General features: G+C 56.7%; 3 protein-coding genes and 2 long non-coding RNA genes across 29 annotated transcripts in view, besides 8 other annotated features; 3 read left to right on the forward strand and 2 right to left on the reverse strand.

The window, feature by feature from the left end:
* Positions 6–225: an enhancer, noted in NCBI's record as "active region_19905". NCBI's record gives its function as "activates an Ori minimal core promoter by ATAC-STARR-seq in GM12878 lymphoblastoid cells {active_cell/tissue: GM12878}" and the evidence as "EXISTENCE:reporter gene assay evidence [ECO:0000049][PMID:35858748]".
* CYB561D2 (cytochrome b561 family member D2) lies at positions 51–3,258 on the forward strand. 12 transcript variants are annotated; one of them, NM_001414711.1, is made up of 4 exons: positions 51–186; positions 598–749; positions 1,198–1,235; positions 2,430–3,258. In NM_001414711.1, the coding sequence occupies exons 2-4, from the start codon at positions 623–625 to the stop codon at positions 2,931–2,933; spliced, it is 669 nt and encodes a 222-aa protein (NP_001401640.1). In that variant the 5' UTR covers positions 51–186; positions 598–622; the 3' UTR covers positions 2,934–3,258. The 12 variants fall into 12 exon arrangements, with proteins under 12 accessions (NP_001401640.1, NP_001401637.1, NP_001401635.1 ...); NM_001414708.1 differs by having other exon boundaries at positions 612–749; NM_001414706.1 differs by having other exon boundaries at positions 51–177; positions 532–749.
* LOC127898564 (CYB561D2-LOC101928965) lies at positions 51–17,386 on the forward strand. Of its 3 annotated transcripts, NR_183066.1 has the most exons (5): positions 51–173; positions 598–749; positions 7,307–7,865; positions 15,486–15,520; positions 16,985–17,386. It is a non-coding gene; the product is annotated as a CYB561D2-LOC101928965 (long non-coding RNA). The 3 variants fall into 3 exon arrangements; NR_111912.2 differs by lacking the exon at positions 7,307–7,865; NR_183067.1 differs by lacking the exons at positions 51–173; positions 7,307–7,865 and adding an exon at positions 1,198–1,235 and having other exon boundaries at positions 399–749.
* Positions 3,939–8,710, reverse strand: TMEM115 (transmembrane protein 115). Its single transcript, NM_007024.5, has 2 exons — positions 7,402–8,710; positions 3,939–4,736 (listed from the first exon to the last, which is right to left on the reverse strand). The coding sequence occupies exons 1-2, from the start codon at positions 8,250–8,252 to the stop codon at positions 4,532–4,534; spliced, it is 1,056 nt and encodes a 351-aa protein (NP_008955.1). The 5' UTR covers positions 8,253–8,710; the 3' UTR covers positions 3,939–4,531.
* Positions 8,013–8,903: an enhancer, noted in NCBI's record as "H3K27ac-H3K4me1 hESC enhancer chr3:50396255-50397145 (GRCh37/hg19 assembly coordinates)". NCBI's record gives its function as "activates a minimal SCP1, AML or CMV promoter by ChIP-STARR-seq in primed H9 embryonic stem cells {active_cell/tissue: H9 hESC(primed)}" and the evidence as "EXISTENCE:reporter gene assay evidence [ECO:0000049][PMID:30033119]".
* Positions 8,013–8,929: a biological region, named in NCBI's record as "H3K27ac-H3K4me1 hESC enhancer GRCh37_chr3:50396255-50397145".
* Positions 8,630–8,929: an enhancer, noted in NCBI's record as "active region_19906". NCBI's record gives its function as "activates an Ori minimal core promoter by ATAC-STARR-seq in GM12878 lymphoblastoid cells {active_cell/tissue: GM12878}" and the evidence as "EXISTENCE:reporter gene assay evidence [ECO:0000049][PMID:35858748]".
* Positions 11,802–17,641, reverse strand: part of CACNA2D2 (calcium voltage-gated channel auxiliary subunit alpha2delta 2) — a 141,632-nt gene continuing 135,792 nt past the window's right edge. For 2 of the 6 annotated variants that reach the window (NM_001291101.1, NM_001005505.3), the window contains exons 24-38: positions 17,327–17,424; positions 17,001–17,091; positions 16,831–16,893; positions 16,583–16,686; positions 16,200–16,298; positions 16,020–16,108; positions 15,767–15,814; positions 15,456–15,527; positions 15,200–15,352; positions 14,999–15,051; positions 14,822–14,877; positions 14,545–14,671; positions 14,264–14,373; positions 14,077–14,165; positions 11,802–13,995 (exon numbers count right to left, since the gene is read on the reverse strand). In NM_001291101.1, coding sequence (NP_001278030.1) covers positions 13,855–13,995; positions 14,077–14,165; positions 14,264–14,373; positions 14,545–14,671; positions 14,822–14,877; positions 14,999–15,051; positions 15,200–15,352; positions 15,456–15,527; positions 15,767–15,814; positions 16,020–16,108; positions 16,200–16,298; positions 16,583–16,686; positions 16,831–16,893; positions 17,001–17,091; positions 17,327–17,424 — 1,393 coding nt within the window. In that variant the 3' untranslated portion in view covers positions 11,802–13,854. Of the gene's footprint in view, positions 13,996–14,076; positions 14,166–14,263; positions 14,374–14,544; positions 14,672–14,821; positions 14,878–14,998; positions 15,052–15,199; positions 15,353–15,455; positions 15,528–15,766; positions 15,818–16,019; positions 16,109–16,199; positions 16,299–16,582; positions 16,687–16,830; positions 16,894–17,000; positions 17,092–17,326; positions 17,425–17,641 lie in introns of all 6 variants that reach the window. The other 4 variants (NM_006030.4, NM_001174051.3, NM_001410768.1 and 1 more) reach the window with 2 other exon arrangements.
* Positions 13,757–14,338: an enhancer, noted in NCBI's record as "H3K27ac-H3K4me1 hESC enhancer chr3:50401999-50402580 (GRCh37/hg19 assembly coordinates)". NCBI's record gives its function as "activates a minimal SCP1, AML or CMV promoter by ChIP-STARR-seq in naive H9 embryonic stem cells {active_cell/tissue: H9 hESC(naive)}" and the evidence as "EXISTENCE:reporter gene assay evidence [ECO:0000049][PMID:30033119]".
* Positions 13,757–14,922: a biological region, named in NCBI's record as "H3K27ac-H3K4me1 hESC enhancers GRCh37_chr3:50401999-50402580 and GRCh37_chr3:50402581-50403164".
* Positions 14,186–14,435: a silencer, noted in NCBI's record as "silent region_14397". NCBI's record gives its function as "represses an Ori minimal core promoter by ATAC-STARR-seq in GM12878 lymphoblastoid cells {active_cell/tissue: GM12878}" and the evidence as "EXISTENCE:reporter gene assay evidence [ECO:0000049][PMID:35858748]".
* Positions 14,339–14,922: an enhancer, noted in NCBI's record as "H3K27ac-H3K4me1 hESC enhancer chr3:50402581-50403164 (GRCh37/hg19 assembly coordinates)". NCBI's record gives its function as "activates a minimal SCP1, AML or CMV promoter by ChIP-STARR-seq in naive H9 embryonic stem cells {active_cell/tissue: H9 hESC(naive)}" and the evidence as "EXISTENCE:reporter gene assay evidence [ECO:0000049][PMID:30033119]".
* Positions 14,552–17,386, forward strand: LOC101928965 (uncharacterized). 7 transcript variants are annotated; one of them, NR_183062.1, is made up of 4 exons: positions 14,552–15,129; positions 15,486–15,520; positions 16,626–16,710; positions 16,985–17,386. It is a non-coding gene; the product is annotated as an uncharacterized LOC101928965 (long non-coding RNA). The 7 variants fall into 7 exon arrangements; NR_183065.1 differs by having other exon boundaries at positions 14,552–14,904; NR_183061.1 differs by lacking the exon at positions 16,626–16,710.

Genomic DNA, 17,641 nt, shown 5'->3' on the forward strand with positions numbered 1-17,641 from the left:
AGGCGTGGCTGGGGCGGGGGACGGCTCGTCCCAGGAAGTCCTGGGTGGGTAGACGTCGCACCCGGAAGTAAAGCGGCTCCGTGACGGAGCGGCGGTGCGCGCGGCAGGGCCCGGAGTATCCCGCTTTCTTTGGAGGAAACCACCGCATCAGATCTGCGCTGCGGCAGAGGCAGGCAAGTCCCTAGCGTGGAGGGGCAGCATGCTGGCAGCACTTGGGGAGGCGGTGCGCTAAGGGATTCACGCTGTAACTGGGACCGCAGCAGGGAACTACAATTTCCATAGTGCTCCGCGCCCTCCCAGCTGGCTCTACTGCCGGCGACGGCGTGGTACACGCTGGGATTTGTAGTCTTACATGGCTTTGCGCCTCCTACCTGGAAGGCGGGCCAGCGATTGGTACCAGTTCAGACATGGGTACACGTTGACAGGCCGCCGGCCGTCGACTGGCATGTTGTGACCATTCCTGGTGCTGGTCTTGGTACTGTTCTTTCCTACCATAACTTATTGGAAGAGGGTGGCATTCCTGCCTTGCAGCCTTTTCTCCAGTGAGGAGTGAACAGTGGGCACCTGAGATCCTGGCCCACGCTACTATGCTTTCAGGCTACAACCACTAGCACGGCTGACGATGGCCCTTTCTGCGGAGACCGAGTCACACATCTACCGAGCTCTGCGTACTGCTTCTGGCGCTGCCGCCCACCTTGTGGCCCTGGGCTTTACCATCTTTGTGGCTGTGCTTGCCAGGCCTGGCTCCAGTAAGTAGAATTCATAGCTGACTTCTGGGAAGGGAAGGGCCACTGTTCCTGGGGAGGAAGGGCAGTGGGACTTCCGGGAACAGGCCTGGCTGGTTGAGGGAATTCTGTGCTGGAGCGATGAGTGAGGTGGAGCAGGTAGGTATGGCCAGGGCACACAGAATTCCTGGTTTGTCTTTCCTTCTCTGGGTGCTCCATTTGGCTGCCTCTCAGGAGGTGTAAGGGAAGGAGGGAGGACTGCCAGAGGAGTGGCAAAGCATGGCCTCTGATCCAGGAAGAGGCCAGGAAGAGAGGATAGGTGTGGGGTCAGCTTGTTGCAGAGCAAGAAGGGGCTCACAGTTTGGCAGCACCTCCTTGGGTGATGGGCTGCTGGTATTCCTCAACCCTTAAGGATTGGTATGGCTGGTTTCTTCTTGCCTCAGCCCCATGAGGCCTCCTCTTCTCATTCCAGGCCTGTTCTCCTGGCACCCGGTGCTTATGTCTTTGGCTGTAAGTAGTGGGCCTGGGCAGTTCTTAGGGGTGGGAGCATGGGCATGGTTGGTGGCCCTGGCAGCCTCTGAATCTTTGTCCACATTTAATATCTGTTTGGAAGAGTTGCATGCTCCAACTACTCCTGCCCATGGTATATATTTCAGACTTGAGGCTGGGCACGGTGGCTCATGCCTGTAATCCCAGCACTTAGAGGCCGAGGCGGGCACATCACCTGAGGTCAGGAGATCGAGACCATCTTGGCCAACATGGTGAAACCCCGTCTCTACTAAAAATACAAAAAATTAGCCGGGCATGGTGGCACGCGCCTGTAGTCCCAGCTACTCGGGAGGCTGAGGCAGGAGAATCGCATGAACCCAGGAGACGGAGGTTGCAGTGAGCCAAGATTGCGCCACTGCACTCTAACCTCTAACCTAGGCGACAGAGCGAGGCTCTGTCCCAAAAAAAAAAAAAAACCCAAAAACAAAAAAACCCCCCAAAAAACCAAAAATTAGCTGGGTGTGGTGGCAGGTGCCTGTAATCCCAGTTACTCAGGAGCCTGAGGCAGGAGAATTGCTTGAACCCGGAAGGCGGAGATTGCAGTGAGCCGAGATCAGGCCACTGCACTCCAGCCTGGGTGACAGAGAGAGACTATCTCCAAAAAAAAAAAAAAAAAAAAAAAGAGACTTGAATCAGAGTAATGAAGACCCAGGACCCAGGTCAAATGGGTAAGATTTGTCTAAGCACAATGAGGCTTCACCCACCTCTAGGCAGAAAGCTGAGACATTGCATTTGGATGTACCTCTGTCCCTTTTTACTTTAATTTCTGGTGATGCACCTAACTTTCCCTGAAACAGTGCACCCATGTGGCCAGCTCTTGCCAAGAAATTGTATCCAGCCCCACGTTAGGGAAACAAAGCTTGTGAATCATTTATAACTGCCACATCTCAAACCCTGTGTTTGCTTGGTAACATACGACAGATGACATTTCAGACTGGCACCTAGGAGGAAGTGTGGAGATTATTCAGGGCACATATATCATCCCAGATGGGGTTTTCCACTCTTGCCCCACCAAATGGATAGTCTTGTCAGTGGGGAGAGAAAGAAAAAGGGGAATCAGCCCAGACTCACTGGCAGCTAAGGGTTACATAAAGCCCTCTTCTCCTCTTCTGGGGCAGCACCCTCACTTGAGCTTCCCATCCCCTGTTTCCTCAGTTCTCCTTCCTGATGACCGAGGCACTACTGGTGTTTTCTCCTGAGAGTTCGCTGCTGCACTCCCTCTCACGGAAAGGCCGAGCACGCTGCCACTGGGTGCTGCAGCTGCTGGCCCTGCTGTGTGCACTGCTGGGCCTCGGCCTTGTCATCCTCCACAAAGAGCAGCTTGGCAAAGCCCACCTGGTTACGCGGCATGGGCAGGCAGGGCTGCTGGCTGTGCTGTGGGCAGGGCTGCAGTGCTCAGGTGGGGTGGGGCTGCTCTACCCCAAGCTGCTGCCCCGATGGCCCCTGGCGAAGCTCAAGCTATACCATGCTACTTCTGGGCTGGTGGGCTACCTGCTGGGTAGTGCCAGCCTCTTGCTGGGCATGTGCTCACTCTGGTTCACTGCCTCTGTCACTGGTGCAGCCTGGTACCTGGCTGTATTATGCCCTGTCCTCACCAGCTTGGTCATTATGAACCAGGTGAGCAATGCCTACCTATACCGCAAGAGGATCCAACCATGAGCTCTTCCCAGCCTAGGGGAAGCCTGGATTTGCCCCTCCATGTAGGAGCTGGGCCTAGGGACCTGTTGAACTCTCTCAGCTGAGTCAGGGGACACCTCAGGCACTGGGACAGTTGGGCATTTGGAGGCCCGTGTGTGAATTCCTGCTCCTCATGCTGGAGTGCCTCCCATTTCCTTCCCCTTTCTCTGTCATCCCAGAGGAACATAGGCATCATGTGTCTGGATGAAGCTGGGGCTGCAAGACTGCCTCTCCTGCAAGGCAGCTCATACTTGTACTGTATGTTCAGAAATTTTAGGAGAGAAAAAAGTAAAAAATTTGTAAAAAATGACTGAAAAGATTGATGGGAGAAGCAGCCCAGAGTTGGGGATGGTTCTTGTTAATGCCATCAGCACAGGAAAATGGGCAGCTGGGCAAGATGGGGACCCCCCACCCCCGACCCCTGGCTGCTCCCTGAGGGGCTGAAGCTCTCCTAGCACACAAATCCCCAGGGTCTAGCTGCTGAGCCTCCCAGGCCACTCCGGGCCCTGGCAGGCCCTAGAGCTGTAGCTGTGAATGGTACAGCTGTGTGTCCTTTCTGTCCCCCCAACTGTCTACTGTGCTGGAGTCTCCAGACTGTGGGGGTTAGATACATACAATAACTGGGAGCTGGGGGTGAGTTGTCTCCAGGGGTGGCAAGAACTGAGCATTCTGTCTTAGAGATAAACCATGGGTAAGAACAGCGCCTTATGATGGAGAGGCCCTTATCATCAGATCTAGGCAGGGACAGAAGGCCTCCCAGATTGGGGTTTGGAGGGAAAGAAAAAAGGAGTAAGAGTCTGAGGCAATAGCTCTTGGAAGGCTGCTTGGCAGTGCGCATGTGGTGGTGGTGGTGGCGGTGGTGGGGAGCTGGGGCAATGGGCTTCTTATCCAGCTGGAGTTACCATGGAGACAATCAAGTCCCTGTCTAACATTGCAGTTGAACGTGATGAGGGGGCTGCACAAGGTGGCCTGACAAGAGCCCAGGAGTCATTCCTCAGAGAACTGCTTTATTGATACTGCGAGCCTGGGCTTGGCTGCCCACTCAAGTGGTCCTGTAGAAAATACCTGGGAGCTGGAGCTGTTCTGGTCCAGAAGCAGTCACCGCCACAGCAGAGGGAAACAAATCCTGACAGGAACAGTCTTTCTGGGGATGGGCAGGGATGTGCAGCCCCAGGTCGGCTCCTGCATTTGCTGGGCCCCCAGAACATTTTTGGCAAATCCTTGCCTTGGCTCAGGGCTCTCGGCAACCAGTTTCAGATGTGAGGGCCGGCCCAGGAGCTGTGGCATCAGTGTCCCTGCAGCCACTTGCTTGGGGCTGCCAGCTGATGTACATTCTTACCTCAGATGAGGGCCTGGACTGGCCGATGCCTCAGAGGCTCCGGGCCTGGCATAGTGGTTGTCTGGAGTTGGAACCAGGTAGCAAGAGTCCTGGGTAGTGTTGGCGAGAAACAGCAGAAGGCCATGGAAAGCCCCAGCAGGCCTTCTTCCCTCTCCTCAGAGCAGTCAGGTGCCCTGGAGTAGCTGAGAGGATGTCAAGGGGGGCTTGGGAGGGGAGGTGCCACACTCAAGGTGGTCTGGAGTTACAGCGTCGGGGGAGCTGCCTCGAAGGTGATTAGACTGGATTCTGGGGCAGCCCCCTTCCCTGGGGGTGTGGGAGCTTTGTCTGAGGGCAGGGGGCTGTCCACCTTGGCCCCAGACTCCTCTTCATCATCATCCATGCTGGGCCAGATGGACTGGTCTTCCACTCTCTTCAGCCGCTCATTGAGTGCCTTCAGGGCCAGTTGCCTGGGGCCAGAGGAGAGAGGAAAGGTCACTCTGGGTTTGGCCTTGGCTCATGCCCTCTACCCTTCCGCAGCAGGCTGACTCCTCACCGTACCACCTAGACTCCTCCCCCAGAATCCTATGTTTCCCCTTCACCATGCAGAGCCTGGGACTCCCCAGAGATTGGTTTAGGACCCACTCTGCCATCAGAATGATAACCCAAAGGCTCTAAGAATCTTCCCTCCATAGCTGAGGCACCTCCGGGATGGGAAGGTCAGCTGGGTGTCTGCCAGACTGCCCACGAGGCCAGCCACCAGGAATGGTTCTGAGGGTGGTATCTAAGGGTCAGTGGAACTAGTGCCCTAGGGCAGATGGGTGGAACGGCAAGTTCTGGAGTTTCCAGGAGTTTCTGCCTGGGTGCTGGCATCACATCCAAGGGAAGGGTTATTAATTCTCCCCCTCTCCTGGTTAGGGGTATCTTGAGCCTCCTGGCAAGGGTCAATGGGGAAGGCTGGAATTCAACACCTCCCTTGGCTCTCAGCCCAGGAAGCAGGGCCAACTTGGGTGAGTCTACCCCTCCTAACTGATGCTAATATTCTCCCTCTCAGAAGAACCCCCAAAGCCACCAAGGCCCTTGTTAGAGCAGGGACTTAGCGGAGCCCTTGCAAGAGGAGAAGAAGGAGAAACAGCTCACATGGGTAGGCACAGGCCAGAGCCTACTGCTTCCACAGGGTGGACCCTTAGAGGCCCCACTTTGAGGGCAGGTGGGAAAGTCCAACAGAAGAAGGTTTACACATGTGCTTGGGACCCTGACCCACCAGAAGGTGGAGTGCTGCAGCTGCCAGGGAACCGTTTCAACAGTGACCACTGTGGACTCCTATACCTCAGCCTCTCTGTGCCACCAATGTGGGGACAGCCTGTGTAGCCTTTCAGGTTCCAGCTGAGAACCAAAATCTCCACCATGTCAGGGAACACGACAAGAGAGGCAACAAGGGCACAGGTGTAGAAAGCCCTAGCACGCTTCCCCCCTGCCCGTCAGTCTCACACATGACAAGTTGGTATAGACAGGACAGTCTTTCCCTGCTGCTACCCAGGCTGCCATCCTGATGATGCCCTTGCCAGTTCCATCTAAAGCCTGCCAAGGCAGAGAGCTAGTGTTACGCTAGTCACTTCCTCACAAGGACCAGAGAGACAGATAGGAAACCCTGCCTCCCTCTCCTGGTAGCCCTTTGGAGTTGGGCGTGGCCATGCAGTCAGATGTCAAACTGGCTGGAGGAATAACCGCCACCCCCATGTAAGCTAACAACCATAAGGCTATGCCAAGAACCCGCCTCTTGACCCTCCCTTCCTCCCCACCAACCTGCTTCCCCCCTGTCCATTTTCTTGGGCCTAGGCAGAGGTTTTTGAATGTCCAGCCAACCCTAACATTCCAACACCTCTCAGTGGAGGAGGGGTCCCCACTGGCCTGGCCCCACCTGAATGGCTCTGAGGGACAGCTCAATTCCTACCAGGCCCAGCTCACCTGGCCCCATCTTTAATACCAGCTAAGGTTAAGAGAGACTTCTGTCCTTAGGGCTTATCACCTATAAAGACCCAAGCTCTAGGGCCCAGAATTATGCCCTGCAGCATGCTGTATATACTTTTCAACACCTACCATACCTTGGGCCATAGTGATCTGTGGCCCTTCCCCAGCTGGAACTCCTTCAAGAAAGGAGTGTGTCCCACACTCAATTCCATAGCCCAGTGGAGAGTAAATACAGGGATAACTGCAGCTAAATTCATAGAGCTTCCTGCCACAACCCCATTCACAGGTGAGCAAAAGCAGGAGCCTTGGCAATGCAAAAGACAAAGCCCGTCCCAGATTTTACTACTCGAGTAATTGCCTCAAAACAGTGAGGAATAATGTTGGAAATGGAGCTGTGGATCTTATGAAGGCTGGGACCACTCTGCTGGCTCCACAGATCTGGGAGAGAGAGTAAGCTGAATTTAAAAAGATCCCTCCTGCCCTGGCCAAAGTGCATTCAGTGAATAATTCAGCTGGGACTCCTGATGCTGTGGATAGCTTGGTTTACAGATAATGAAAGGGTCATCGCCACTCCCTGGTGTCAGCAGGCTCCCTCAGTGGGTCATGTAGCCTGTCCCTGGTTTTGGTGACACATGCTTGCTGGAGACAGAGGTAAATGTGGTAATACCCCAAGCTTCCCTCTCAATAAGTAAGTGGCAGAGAAGCACAGCATCTGAGTTAAAGCCCAGGAAGAGGACACAGCATTTGGAAATTGGAGTGGCCCAGATCACCTTTTGAGGACCCCAGGCCTCCTTCCCTGTCCCTTCCTCACAGGGGAAAGTACCAGCAGGTTGCTTCTGGCTCCCACAGGCCCAATGTCTAGGATTCTGAGATTCTGAGGCAAGGCCAGGGTTCTGTGTCCCTCCACTGGGACTTCACAGCACCAAAGGAAACTGCATTTCTTGAGACTTATTAAGTGGCCCGAGTGGTGAGAAAAGTGCCTCGTGGACCCCAGACACCTAACTGCTGAGTTCCTTAAGGCCAAAGACTGATTTTGTCTTTCCGGATGTGCCCCAATACCTGACTGTAGGTCTCCACCTATGTACAGCGAACACCTCAACAGATGGCATGTGACTCGACCAGTATGCTCCTAGCTTGACAAGATTTTGGAAAATTTCACAGTACCTTCTCCGCTCGGCGTCTTGAGGGTCTGTGCCTGGCAGGCTGATGGTGATGGAGGATGGGGCACCCACATCGTAGCGCTTCACCGTCTTCTGGCATATCTTTACCTTCACCAGGAGGCTGTGCACCAAGTTCGCCAGCAAACCCACCACAGGCTGCAGGATCTCAGGGAAGAAAGTGGCGAAAGCAAAGTGGTCAGCCATGTCCCCTCGGCCCCGGCTATGGCGCTGGTAGAAGCGAAGATATACCCAACTGGAGAGCAGCCCGAAGCCATAGGAAGCCAGCGCCGGGCTCTGGAGCAGCGTGGCGAGCCGCAGCAGGAGCAGCAGCGCCAGCAGCAGCATGGGCATCACACTGACGCGCACCTGGGGCACTCGCAGGACCACACAGTCCCCCATGGTTTGCTTGAGTGCCACCAGGACGCCACCTAGGAAGCCCAAGGCGCCGTGGATACGGACAGTGAACAGGTAGACCAGGTTGAAGGAAGCCATGTAGGTGAGGAGGTAGGCGAAGGCCCCCAGCAGCCCTACAGACACATTCACCACTGAGAAGAAGATGAGCAGCTCCAAGGCCCCCCAGAGGGGCTCCAGCAAACGCCCGGCCACCACCACCGTTGTCAGGCTGATGGCCACGTCCCACACATGCTGCTCCATCAGCCCATGGGTGGCCAGGGTCCAGATCCAGAAGTTGGGAGGAAAGAGGTAGCCCGGGGTGACCGCCAGGCAGCCTGTGTCCACGGCGAAGGAGAGCAGGTAGAGGAATAGTACCGCCGCACACAGAGCCTTCACCACCACGCTGGCGCTGGCCAGAATGGCCCCCAAGTGCTGGCGGGCGCCTGGCAGGGCACGTTGCATCTTCCTGGCGGCTGTCGGCCTGAGAAAAGGGTCTGGTAGGCCAGGGGCCTCCCCGGGGCCTCGTCCTAGTCCGGCCCCGATGGGAGGCCCAGGCCCGGCCTAGTCACTGGCCTATGGCCCTGGTAAAGGATCCGCTTCCGATCGGGTGGGGCTCTGGTCCCGAGGGGCCGAGTCGGGCCTTGTTGCCGGGCCGCAGCGTAGGCCCCTCGCCCGGGACCTGAGGGAAGGCCCTGGACGGCTGCGGCACGCCCGCCTACCCACCCTGTAGGCCCCGTGCCAGGCTAGCCTGGTTGGCGTTGACCTCAGGGCTGGGCCTCCTCCATCCACTGCGAGGCCCTTCGGTTCGCAAGGGGACTGGTGCCTCGTTCTGTACCCGAGTCAAGCCTGGTCAGCTCCCGCTCGGCCTGGCTCCTGGCTTCGACCGTACCTCTTCTCTCGGGGGGCCGACAAACAGGGGTGCTGCGCCTGCGCGTCCCCGGCGGCAGCGGGCTGTCCTCTAAGCGCCTGTCTTCCGGCTCCTCTGCATGCTGGGATACGGAGTCCTTGGTTGCAGCCGGGGAAGAGTTGAACAGGGTTCTGGCTAGAACTACAAGTCCCAGGAGGCCATGAGCACGGACCGGTCCCGTTGTGGTGAGCGCGGGGTGTGCTGGGAGTTGTAGTTCTCAGGGACCGTTTCCGTCGGTTCTCAGGAGGTGGGAAGGGATGAATTAGCATCTCTAACCCCTGAAAGCGGCGGTGAGGGTTCGGGAAGCAACACAGCTCTAGCCCCCACACTTGCTGAATTCCCTAGGAAGAGTAGCTCTATTTGTGCGTGTACCTCTGAGCGAGTGTGTCCTTGTTGGCTGGCGTGTGGGTAGGTGTCACTGTGTGAGAAACAGAACCTCCGTGGTCTGGTGAATGGGACCTGACCCAGGCTGGAACCCTTGCTCTGCCTCGGAGGCTGTGTGGCATTGGTTGGTTAAGTTCCTGAACCTTTTTGAAACTCAGTTTCATGGGCCATAAAATGTAGCTGATGACATGATCTTCCTGTCCTAATAATCAAAGGGGAAAGGGGTGTAAAATGCCAGTCCACCCTGGGTGCTCAGCGAGTGCTGCACATGTTGCCTTTTTTTGTTTGTTTTCTCCCACTTGGAAAAGTTTTTTGTTTGTTATTTCACGTTGCCCTTTTTCCAAGTGAGGTGGACCTGGAGCACGAACCTAGGGCTCCCTCCCGCATAGGGACGAGGCTGGGCAGCCCTCAGTGACCCTCCTCCCCACCAGGGACTTCTGATAACTGCGGAGGATGAGAGGTCTCTCTACAAGCCAGGTCTCTCCACAAGCCTGGGCTAGGCCTGTTCTGGTCCCACTTCACGCCACAGTGACTTCTGACAGGTTGTGTTCTGTGTCTTTTTTTTTTTTTTGTATATGGAGTTACTTTTAAAAAACTGTACATATAGGCTGGGCACGGTGGCTCACGCCTGTAATCCCAGCACTTTGGGAGGCTGAGGCGGGCAGATCACCTGAGGTCGGGAGTTTGAGACCAGCCTGACCAACATGGATAAACCTCATCTCTACTAAAAATACAAAATTAGCCAGGTGTGGTGGCACATGCCTGTAATCCCATCTACTCGGGATGCTGAGGCAGGAGAATCGCTTGAACCCGGGAGGCGGAGGTTGCGGTGAGCCAAGATCATGCCATTGCACTACAGCCTGGGCAACAAGAGCGAAACTTTGTCTCAAAACAAAACAAAAAGCTGTCCATATAATTAAAATAATTCTATGACAAAGTGCTTTTATAAAACACAGGATCCCTTCCTTTCAGCCACTGATTTCAGTGTGTGCTGATGTGTGCATGGCCTACAGGTTAAAAAGGGTGCTGATGCTTTTTTTCTGGGGTCTGGGTTCCCACTGGTTGCCACATCTGGGTAAGGTTGCCAGTTTTAGCAAATCAAAATAAGGATGCTCAGTCAAATTTGAATTCCAGATAAACAATGAGTAATCTTCGAGTATAATCATGTCCCCCTGCCCCCTTTTTTTTTTTTTTTTTTTTTTGAGACAGGGTCTAGCTTTGTCCAAGGCTGGAGTGCAGTGGCACAATCATAGCTCACTGCCACCTCTAACTCCTGGGCTGAAGGGATCCTCCAGCCTCAGCCTCCTGATTAGCTGCGACTACAGGCACACACTACTGTGCCCAGCTAATTTTTAAAATTTTTTTATTTTGTAGAGACATGGGCAGGGGCGGGGTGGCCATCCTACCCAGGCTGATCTCGAACTCGTGAGCTCAAGCGATCCTCCTGCATCAGCCTCCCAAAGTGTTGGGATTACAGGCGTTAGCCACTGTGCCCAGCCCCCAGTTTTTCAGTATAGGTATGTCCCACACAATAGTTGAAACACTTCCATACTAAAAACTCGTTCATGATCTGAAATTCAAAATAGGGTGTTCTGTATTTTATCTTACAACCCTATCCAAGATTGCACGGTCTCTTGCAGGCCATGGGAGCTGTCTTGGGGGTTGTGGATTAGGCATTGCTCTGCAGCCGAACCCTGCAGAGGAGACAGAAAAAGTCTCCATCTTGGCTGAGGCCTCGAAGCCCCTTCATCTATTTAGCATCCAAGCTCCCCAACCCTTGGTGGCCACCTCTTCTCTAAAATCTTTGCTGGTTTTTAGCCTTCTCACCTGGGGGGAAAGGCTTTCTCCTCTTAGTTTGCTCATCTGTGGTATGGGGATACACTAGTACCCACCCCAGAGACTGTGGCGAGGACTCAGCCAGGTCAGTGCGCAGAGAGCAGAGTGTTGGGAGGAGAGAGAGGACTGTGGTGGGAAGGCAGGGACACCTGTGCTCTGGTGGTTACAGGTTATAATTCTCTCCACATGAGAAGATCGCAAAGGTCACACCTTCTAGGGTGAAAATGAACTAGGGCCTAAGCTTGAGAGGATTCACAAAAATGAAGTTTGGCCTATGGCTCCAGTTTAAGCAGCTGCGGCCTCAAGCTCCTGTGGGCCAGGAGGGAGCCGTTGCTGCACTTGTGGTCAGGGCTTCCTGGGCCGTAGGGACACTGGCCAGGTGCTCACTCATAGCTCCCGGCAGAGGCCCTGTCAGGCCCTGGTGGTCTGACCAGACTGCCAGATCCACCTCCCCACTAAACCAGCATCTCTGATCTGTCTTCTTCCCTCCAGGGTCCTGGCTTTCAGGCTCTGGGAGGGTGTTTGTTTTGCTTGTATTTTTTTTTTTTCTGAGACAAGAGTCTCGCTCGGTCATCCAGGCTGGGGTGCGGTGGCGCAATCTTGGCTCACTGCAACCTCCGTCTCCTGGGGTCAAGCAATTATCCTGCCTCAGCCTCCTAAGTAGCTGGGATTACAGGCGCATGCCACCATGCCTGGCTAATTTTTTTGTATTTTTAGTAGAGACGGGGTTTCACCATGTTGGCCAGGCTGGTCTCAAACTCCTGACCTCAAGTGATCTGCCCGCCTCGGCCTCCCAAAATGCTAGATTACAGGCATGAGCCACCGCACCCAGCCTGTCTTGCTTGTTTTTAAAAGACAGCTTTTTGAGATGTTATGAGACAATGTATGTCAAGGGCCTGGCACCTATTATAACTGGTGGAAGCAAGTGCCATGCCCTGTGGTTGACAGGGACCTGGGCTACCATGGTCTTCACCCCCTGCAGAGCACTAAGTGGGACTCTGAGGTCTTGGCCAACTGTCTTCATAGCTACCCAGTCCTCACCCCCAAGCTGATACAGTGGATGGGAACCATTTGAAGTGAAAATATGAACATTATTTAATAACTGATCTTCTGTAATAAACCATTTGAAAATATTTTACAAGGAATCACACACACGATATTTTACAAAGTTTCTTGACTTTTTTGTCGCTGTTGTTTTTCCAACTTGTCTGTACAAAATAGAACAACAAAAAAAGGGCAGAGAAAAGGAAATGGCCCCCCAGTCCCCCAGCCCAAGGTGAGGGGCAGCCAGGTCGGGTGGGTAATGAGAAGGATTAGACCCAGCTGGGGGTTAGACAGCTACCTGATGGGGATTGTTTTGTCTGTTTTTCTGTTTTTTAAACTTAAAATATATATTTTTCTGTATATGTTTATATTCTCCATTGAGCACCTGACTACACTACAGTTACACGCACGCCCCCGAAGGACACAGCTGGCATCCAGGCCGGGTGCACATGGACACCCACCCTGGCACCAGCAGTGGGCATGGACCACACACACACACTGAGAAAGCGACAAGCAACATGACATTAATTAACGAAGCCATTAATTAATGCATCACCCTCCCCCTCCTCCCAGTCCATCTGAGCCCCATCACTATATCCCCTTGCCCTCAGTTCCCCACTGGCCCCCAGGCTGGGATGCCTTTGGGGGAAATGACCAGAATGAATGGTGTGAAGAGCTGTGCCCAGTCCCCACCTGTGTGTGTGTGTGTGTGTGTGTGTTCAGCAAGGGAGGGACAGTTTGGCCTCCTGCAAGCAGGGAGTGTGTGTGTAGGGGTGGGAAGGAGATAGGGAGTGGGCACAGGCCTGAGTGTGTAAGGGCCAGATTGGCGGAAGGATGGCCCAGCCAGGAGAGACAAAGTCACCCCTGCTAAGGCAAAGGGTGATGTCTGGTGGGGGTTCCTCTGCCGAAAGGTGCAGGCAGTGGCATGTGGTCCCACTGGGGGCCTGACACTAGTGAGAAATGGTTACAATGAGCACCTGGAGAGGTGAGGGGGCACTTGGAGGACACTGGTGGCTAGGGGTGGGACAGAGGGTTCTTCACCCCCTGCCCCAGCATTTGGCACTGTTTGACATTCAGCTTTAGAAATGGGAGGACCAGCCAGGCTGCAGCTCAGATTAGAGGCAGGTGGTGAGCAGGAGATGGAGTGTGCAGGTGCCAACCCTCCCACCAACCCCTCGCCCTGTGTAAGGCTTTGTAAGCCCCTACACCCACCCCACCCCATAGTGTGTGTGTTTGTGCGTGTGCCCAGTGGGGTATGTCGAATGTGAGTCCAGTTTCCATCCTCAATGTTCCAGGTGTATATGGGGTAGTGTCTGAACTGGTATCACTGTGACTATCCTGACACCTGGTGGGCTTGGGGATGTGGCTGTAGGCCTGAAAGGGGCAGGAGCCCATGGGGGCTGCCCCAGAGCCTCTCTCCTGCTAGGATTTAAGCTGGGAGGCACAGGCTTCAAACTGGCCATCTCACCTTCCTCCACTATTCTCACAGAAACCAAGTTTGGGCTTGGGTGGGGCAGAGAGGCCGGGTCAGCTGAGGCAGGGTCCCCCCCAACATAGGCAGCCTCCAGGAAGGGCGGCAGCAGAGGCCTGGTTTTGGCACCAGTGCGTGTGGCCTCCCTGTCCCATCCCACTGGGGGGAGCCCAGCAGGCAAGAAGGGTCTGGGGACACTTGAACAGTTCGGAGGTGAGATGTGATTTGGGTGCCAAACACCTGCGGCGTCCCGCTTTGGGACTCCCCATCCCAAGGCGCAGACCAGACTCTCAGGGCCTGGCCAGCTCAGGTCCTTCAGTGAGGGAGGGACGAGGCTCTAAGGCGGGGAGTGTGGGGCAGGAGGGTGGGAAAGGCGAAGAGGCCGGGTGAGGTGGGAGTGGAGGTGGGGTGGGGCAGGGTGCTCAGAGGCGGCGAGAGGCGTGGACGAGGACTTGAGGCTGCGGCCGGGGCGGCAGGCCCAGGAGGAGCAGCAGTTGCAGGGAGACCAGGACGCCCAGCGACGGCGGGAAGGAGGCCCCGCGGCCACAGTCTGAGGTATCTTCCTGCGGGGAGAGACAAGGAGCTGGTCGGCCTGGGCGGGCGCAAGGCCGCGGGATTTCGGGTCCACCGCCCCCTCTCCTCACTGTCGCGTTGTAGTCGAAGCAGATGTGCGGGCCTCTCCGGTATCGCGGTCTCTGCACTAGCTCACACTGCTCCGGGCCGTCCGCTGGGCATGGGTGGGGAGTCAAGGAGGCGGACGGCGGCGGCGGCACGGAGGGGGCGCGCGGGGCAGAGGGGGAGCGGGCGGCGGGGAGGGCGGGGGCAGGATACAGTGCGTCTCCTTCTGCAGCAGCCGGCCAGCCTCGCACTGGCTGCACAGCGGCTTCTCGGCCACCACAAAGAGAAGATTGGTGTTGGTCAGTCTCTGCGCGTGGAACAGCCTGCGGGCAGCCCGGAAAGGCGGGGCGTTGAGTTTGCCCCGCCCTGACCCACCCCCATCCTGCGGCCCCGCCCCCGGCCGCTCGGAGGCCCCGCCCCTTCCATCCTCCCGAGCGTCTCGCCCCGCTCACAGGTTCCGCCCTTGGCCTCTGGTCCCGCCCCACTGCCAGCACCTGGAGCAGTTTCCGCAGTCGATGATGGCGTTGTAGGAGGCGTTTACCGAGCCGAAGTAGTACTGGGTCTGTTTCATGACGCAGCTGCTCTCGCGCGTCTCGGGGCTCCCCTCGGCCTCCGCGGGGTCTGCGAGGGCCCAGAGCGCCTCAGCTCCGCCCACAGACCCTGGCAAGGTCTCCGGCCTCCCTCAGTCGTAGACCCCACCCTCCCCATGGAGTCGTCTTAGCTCAGATTGGGGACCCGGACTTGAGGAGGCGCCTCCAAAGCCCTACCTACCTGCTTGGAACCAGCTGTGGTAGATGAGGCCGTAGAGAAGCTGCTGGAACAGGGACCTGCAGCGCACGGGGAGCCGAGTGCAGGTGGTCAGCAGAGGACGATGCCATGCCCTACTTCTCTTCTGAGCCCTCCCGGCCAGGGAGCACCTTCTCTACCCACCTCCCGCTCAGGACTCACCAGGCGGCAGCAGAGGTCCACCAGGCCAGGTTAAGGAAATCTGCAACGGTGGGCTGCAGTGGAGAGAGGGGCGTGGACTGCCACTGCTGCCCCTCGCCCTAGGTCACCCCCAGCTTTATCAAATGTCAGAGGTAGGGGGTCATCTGTGGGCAGGTCTCCCAGTCCCCCCCATCTCCAGTCCAGGCATCTCTGGGGACTCACCACAAAGACACCCCGGGGTGCAGCACCCAGGTTGCCAGGGGGCTGAGGGGCACAGGCTGCCTGATAGTCATAGGACTCCTTGCGGGTGTAGAAGGAGTTATTGTAGAGTGCCAGCATCAGGTTGGCATCCACCTCACTGAAGAACCTGCCCACCTGAGGATGTCAGGAGAAAGCCATGGTCACAGGGCTGGCAGTGCTACACCCCTAGAAGGCTCAAATCCCTACTCTCTTCTTTCACTCTCTTCCTGATCCTCACCTGGTCCCACTGATGGTTCTGGTTTGACAGCACCAGGAATCCTCCATCATCAATGAGGACACAGAGTAAGTCCTAGGAGGAAGGGAATGGGGAGGAAAATGGAGAGGGGCTGGGCCCCGGACCTTCCACCGCAGGCAGTCCAGTGGTTCAGAGTTGGGGGGCATCACTCCCCCAGTCCTGGGAAGGCTGTGAAGTCAGGGTGGGGATGTTGAGACCCACAGGCCAAGGGATGTGCTGGGAGTCGCGGCTGGGACTAGGAAGTCTGGAAGTGGGGTAAGCTAGGGTCCAGGGTAGGTTCAGGGCACACACACCTCATTGTTAACCTCGCAGTCCATCTCACAGTGGCTGTTGGGGCCGCACTGCTGGGCAGAGAGTGAGGACCGTAAGCCACCCACCAGTTTTCCTCCCTCCCATCACCTTTCATACATCCGGTTCCCCAGGCCATCTGCAGCTGGCCCTGCCTCCATGTAGGTGTTGGAGCCACTGAGTGGAGGGTTGGTGGGGGTTCCAGGGGACTCCAGGAAGGGCACTGCTGGGTTACTGCCCCCGCCCCTGCCCAAATACCTTCTGAGGCTGGTCTTGGTGGGTACGGTTGCTGGCTAGCACCTTGAACTTCTCAGCCCAAGCCTCTAGGTCCAGCTTGACGCCCACCACTTTGGGGGAGAGCAAGGGACCATCAGTGCTACCTGCCCAGGCAGTACCCTGTCCATTGCCTGTTTCCCCACCTCTGTCCCAAACATTCACCTGCTGGCCTCAGTGTGCGCCTGCCTAGGCTGAGCTCCACAGCTGTGCTGACGAGGATGCCCACAGTGTCATTCTCCAGCTCCAGCGGCCTTAACAGGGCTGGGGGTTGGGTGGGGAAGTCAGGAGTGGGGTCTGGCGGCCACACTGACCACTCTATGCTGGGTCCTACAAACCCAGCAGTCCAATCCCGGGATGACTCCAGCCCAAGCACCCAGCACTCAGGACAGTGTTTGGCACAGTCTATCCCTCTTTTCACGTCTGCCCTGGCCTCAGCCAGCCTTGTGTTGGAGAGGGGCCTCAGACAGCAGAGCCCAGTTCTGGCTGAGCAGACAGGGAAGCTGAGGCTCCCTGCCTGCTGCTGGGCACACTGCGGGGACACTCACCATCCTGGTGTGGGGGCTTGAAGACATAACCGTGGTTATCCAGGCTGCGGCGGTAGAAGCTGGCATTGAAGGGCTCAGGGTTCTCTGTCCAGTCCTCAGCTGCCCTGGAGCACCCAAGAGGCAGACTGGTAGGTAAGGGGTGGCTTGTCGGGGACAGTGGTCTCCACAGATGCAAGGAGGCCTCTGGGCAGAACAGATGCAGGTTCCCTGGCAGGGGCAGGGTTTGGGTAGTGGGATAGGTCACTTACTTGTTGGGGAAGACTCGGGTGATGCCACCGTCTGTGGCAGCGAACACGGCCAGTAGGCTGTACCTGGGGGTAGCAGGGGGGTGGGGTCACAGGCCTGCCTTCTGCTGGGCAGGTCCAGGGCCTCTGGGCCCATCCTAGCCTTCTGCCCCCACAGGCTGGGTGATGCCTACGTGTTGAGATCCTGGTCCCTCCACACACGCTCTACCAGCTGCTGCGTGATGCCCGTGTCCAAGATCAGGTTGTGCAGAAGGAAGTTGTTGCCTGGAACAGGAGGGGAGGGGTGGGGGTGGGGGCATCTTCTTGCAGCTCCTTGCCCACCCTCACCCCCACCCTTAAGGCTCCACCAGGAGCCTCCTCCATGACCTGGCCCTGGCCCAGGCCCAGCCCTTAGCTTGTGCCTGCTTATTTCCACACCTGCCCGGCCTCTGGGTTCCTCTGGGCTGGCCCCATGCTGCCTGGGCACTGCCCAGAGCCAGCTGCCCTGCCAGGCACTCACACTGCTTGGAGTCTGGAGTCACTTTCTCCATGAGCTCAATAAAGTTTTTCAGGAACTCGGTGTTGTTGTCTGAGGCATTCAGGTCCTTGCAGTACTCTCTAGGGATGGGGAGGGGCAAGAAGAGTGGGCTTGGGGGGCTGGACAGGGCAATGGGGTCAAGGCTTCCCAACAGGCCCACTTGGCCATTCACTGAGAAGCCTGGGCCTCAGGGAGGGGCACATGGGTTCTTCCTGGCTGCAGCTGCTACATGCCTGGCAGGCTGCTCGGGTCTGAGTCGGGGCAGAGCTGACACAAGAATGAGGGTCTACTTTCTCC

The sequence above is a fragment of the Homo sapiens genome, chromosome 3, assembly GCF_000001405.40.
Source record: "Homo sapiens chromosome 3, GRCh38.p14 Primary Assembly".
Taxonomy (NCBI): domain Eukaryota; kingdom Metazoa; phylum Chordata; class Mammalia; order Primates; family Hominidae; genus Homo; species Homo sapiens.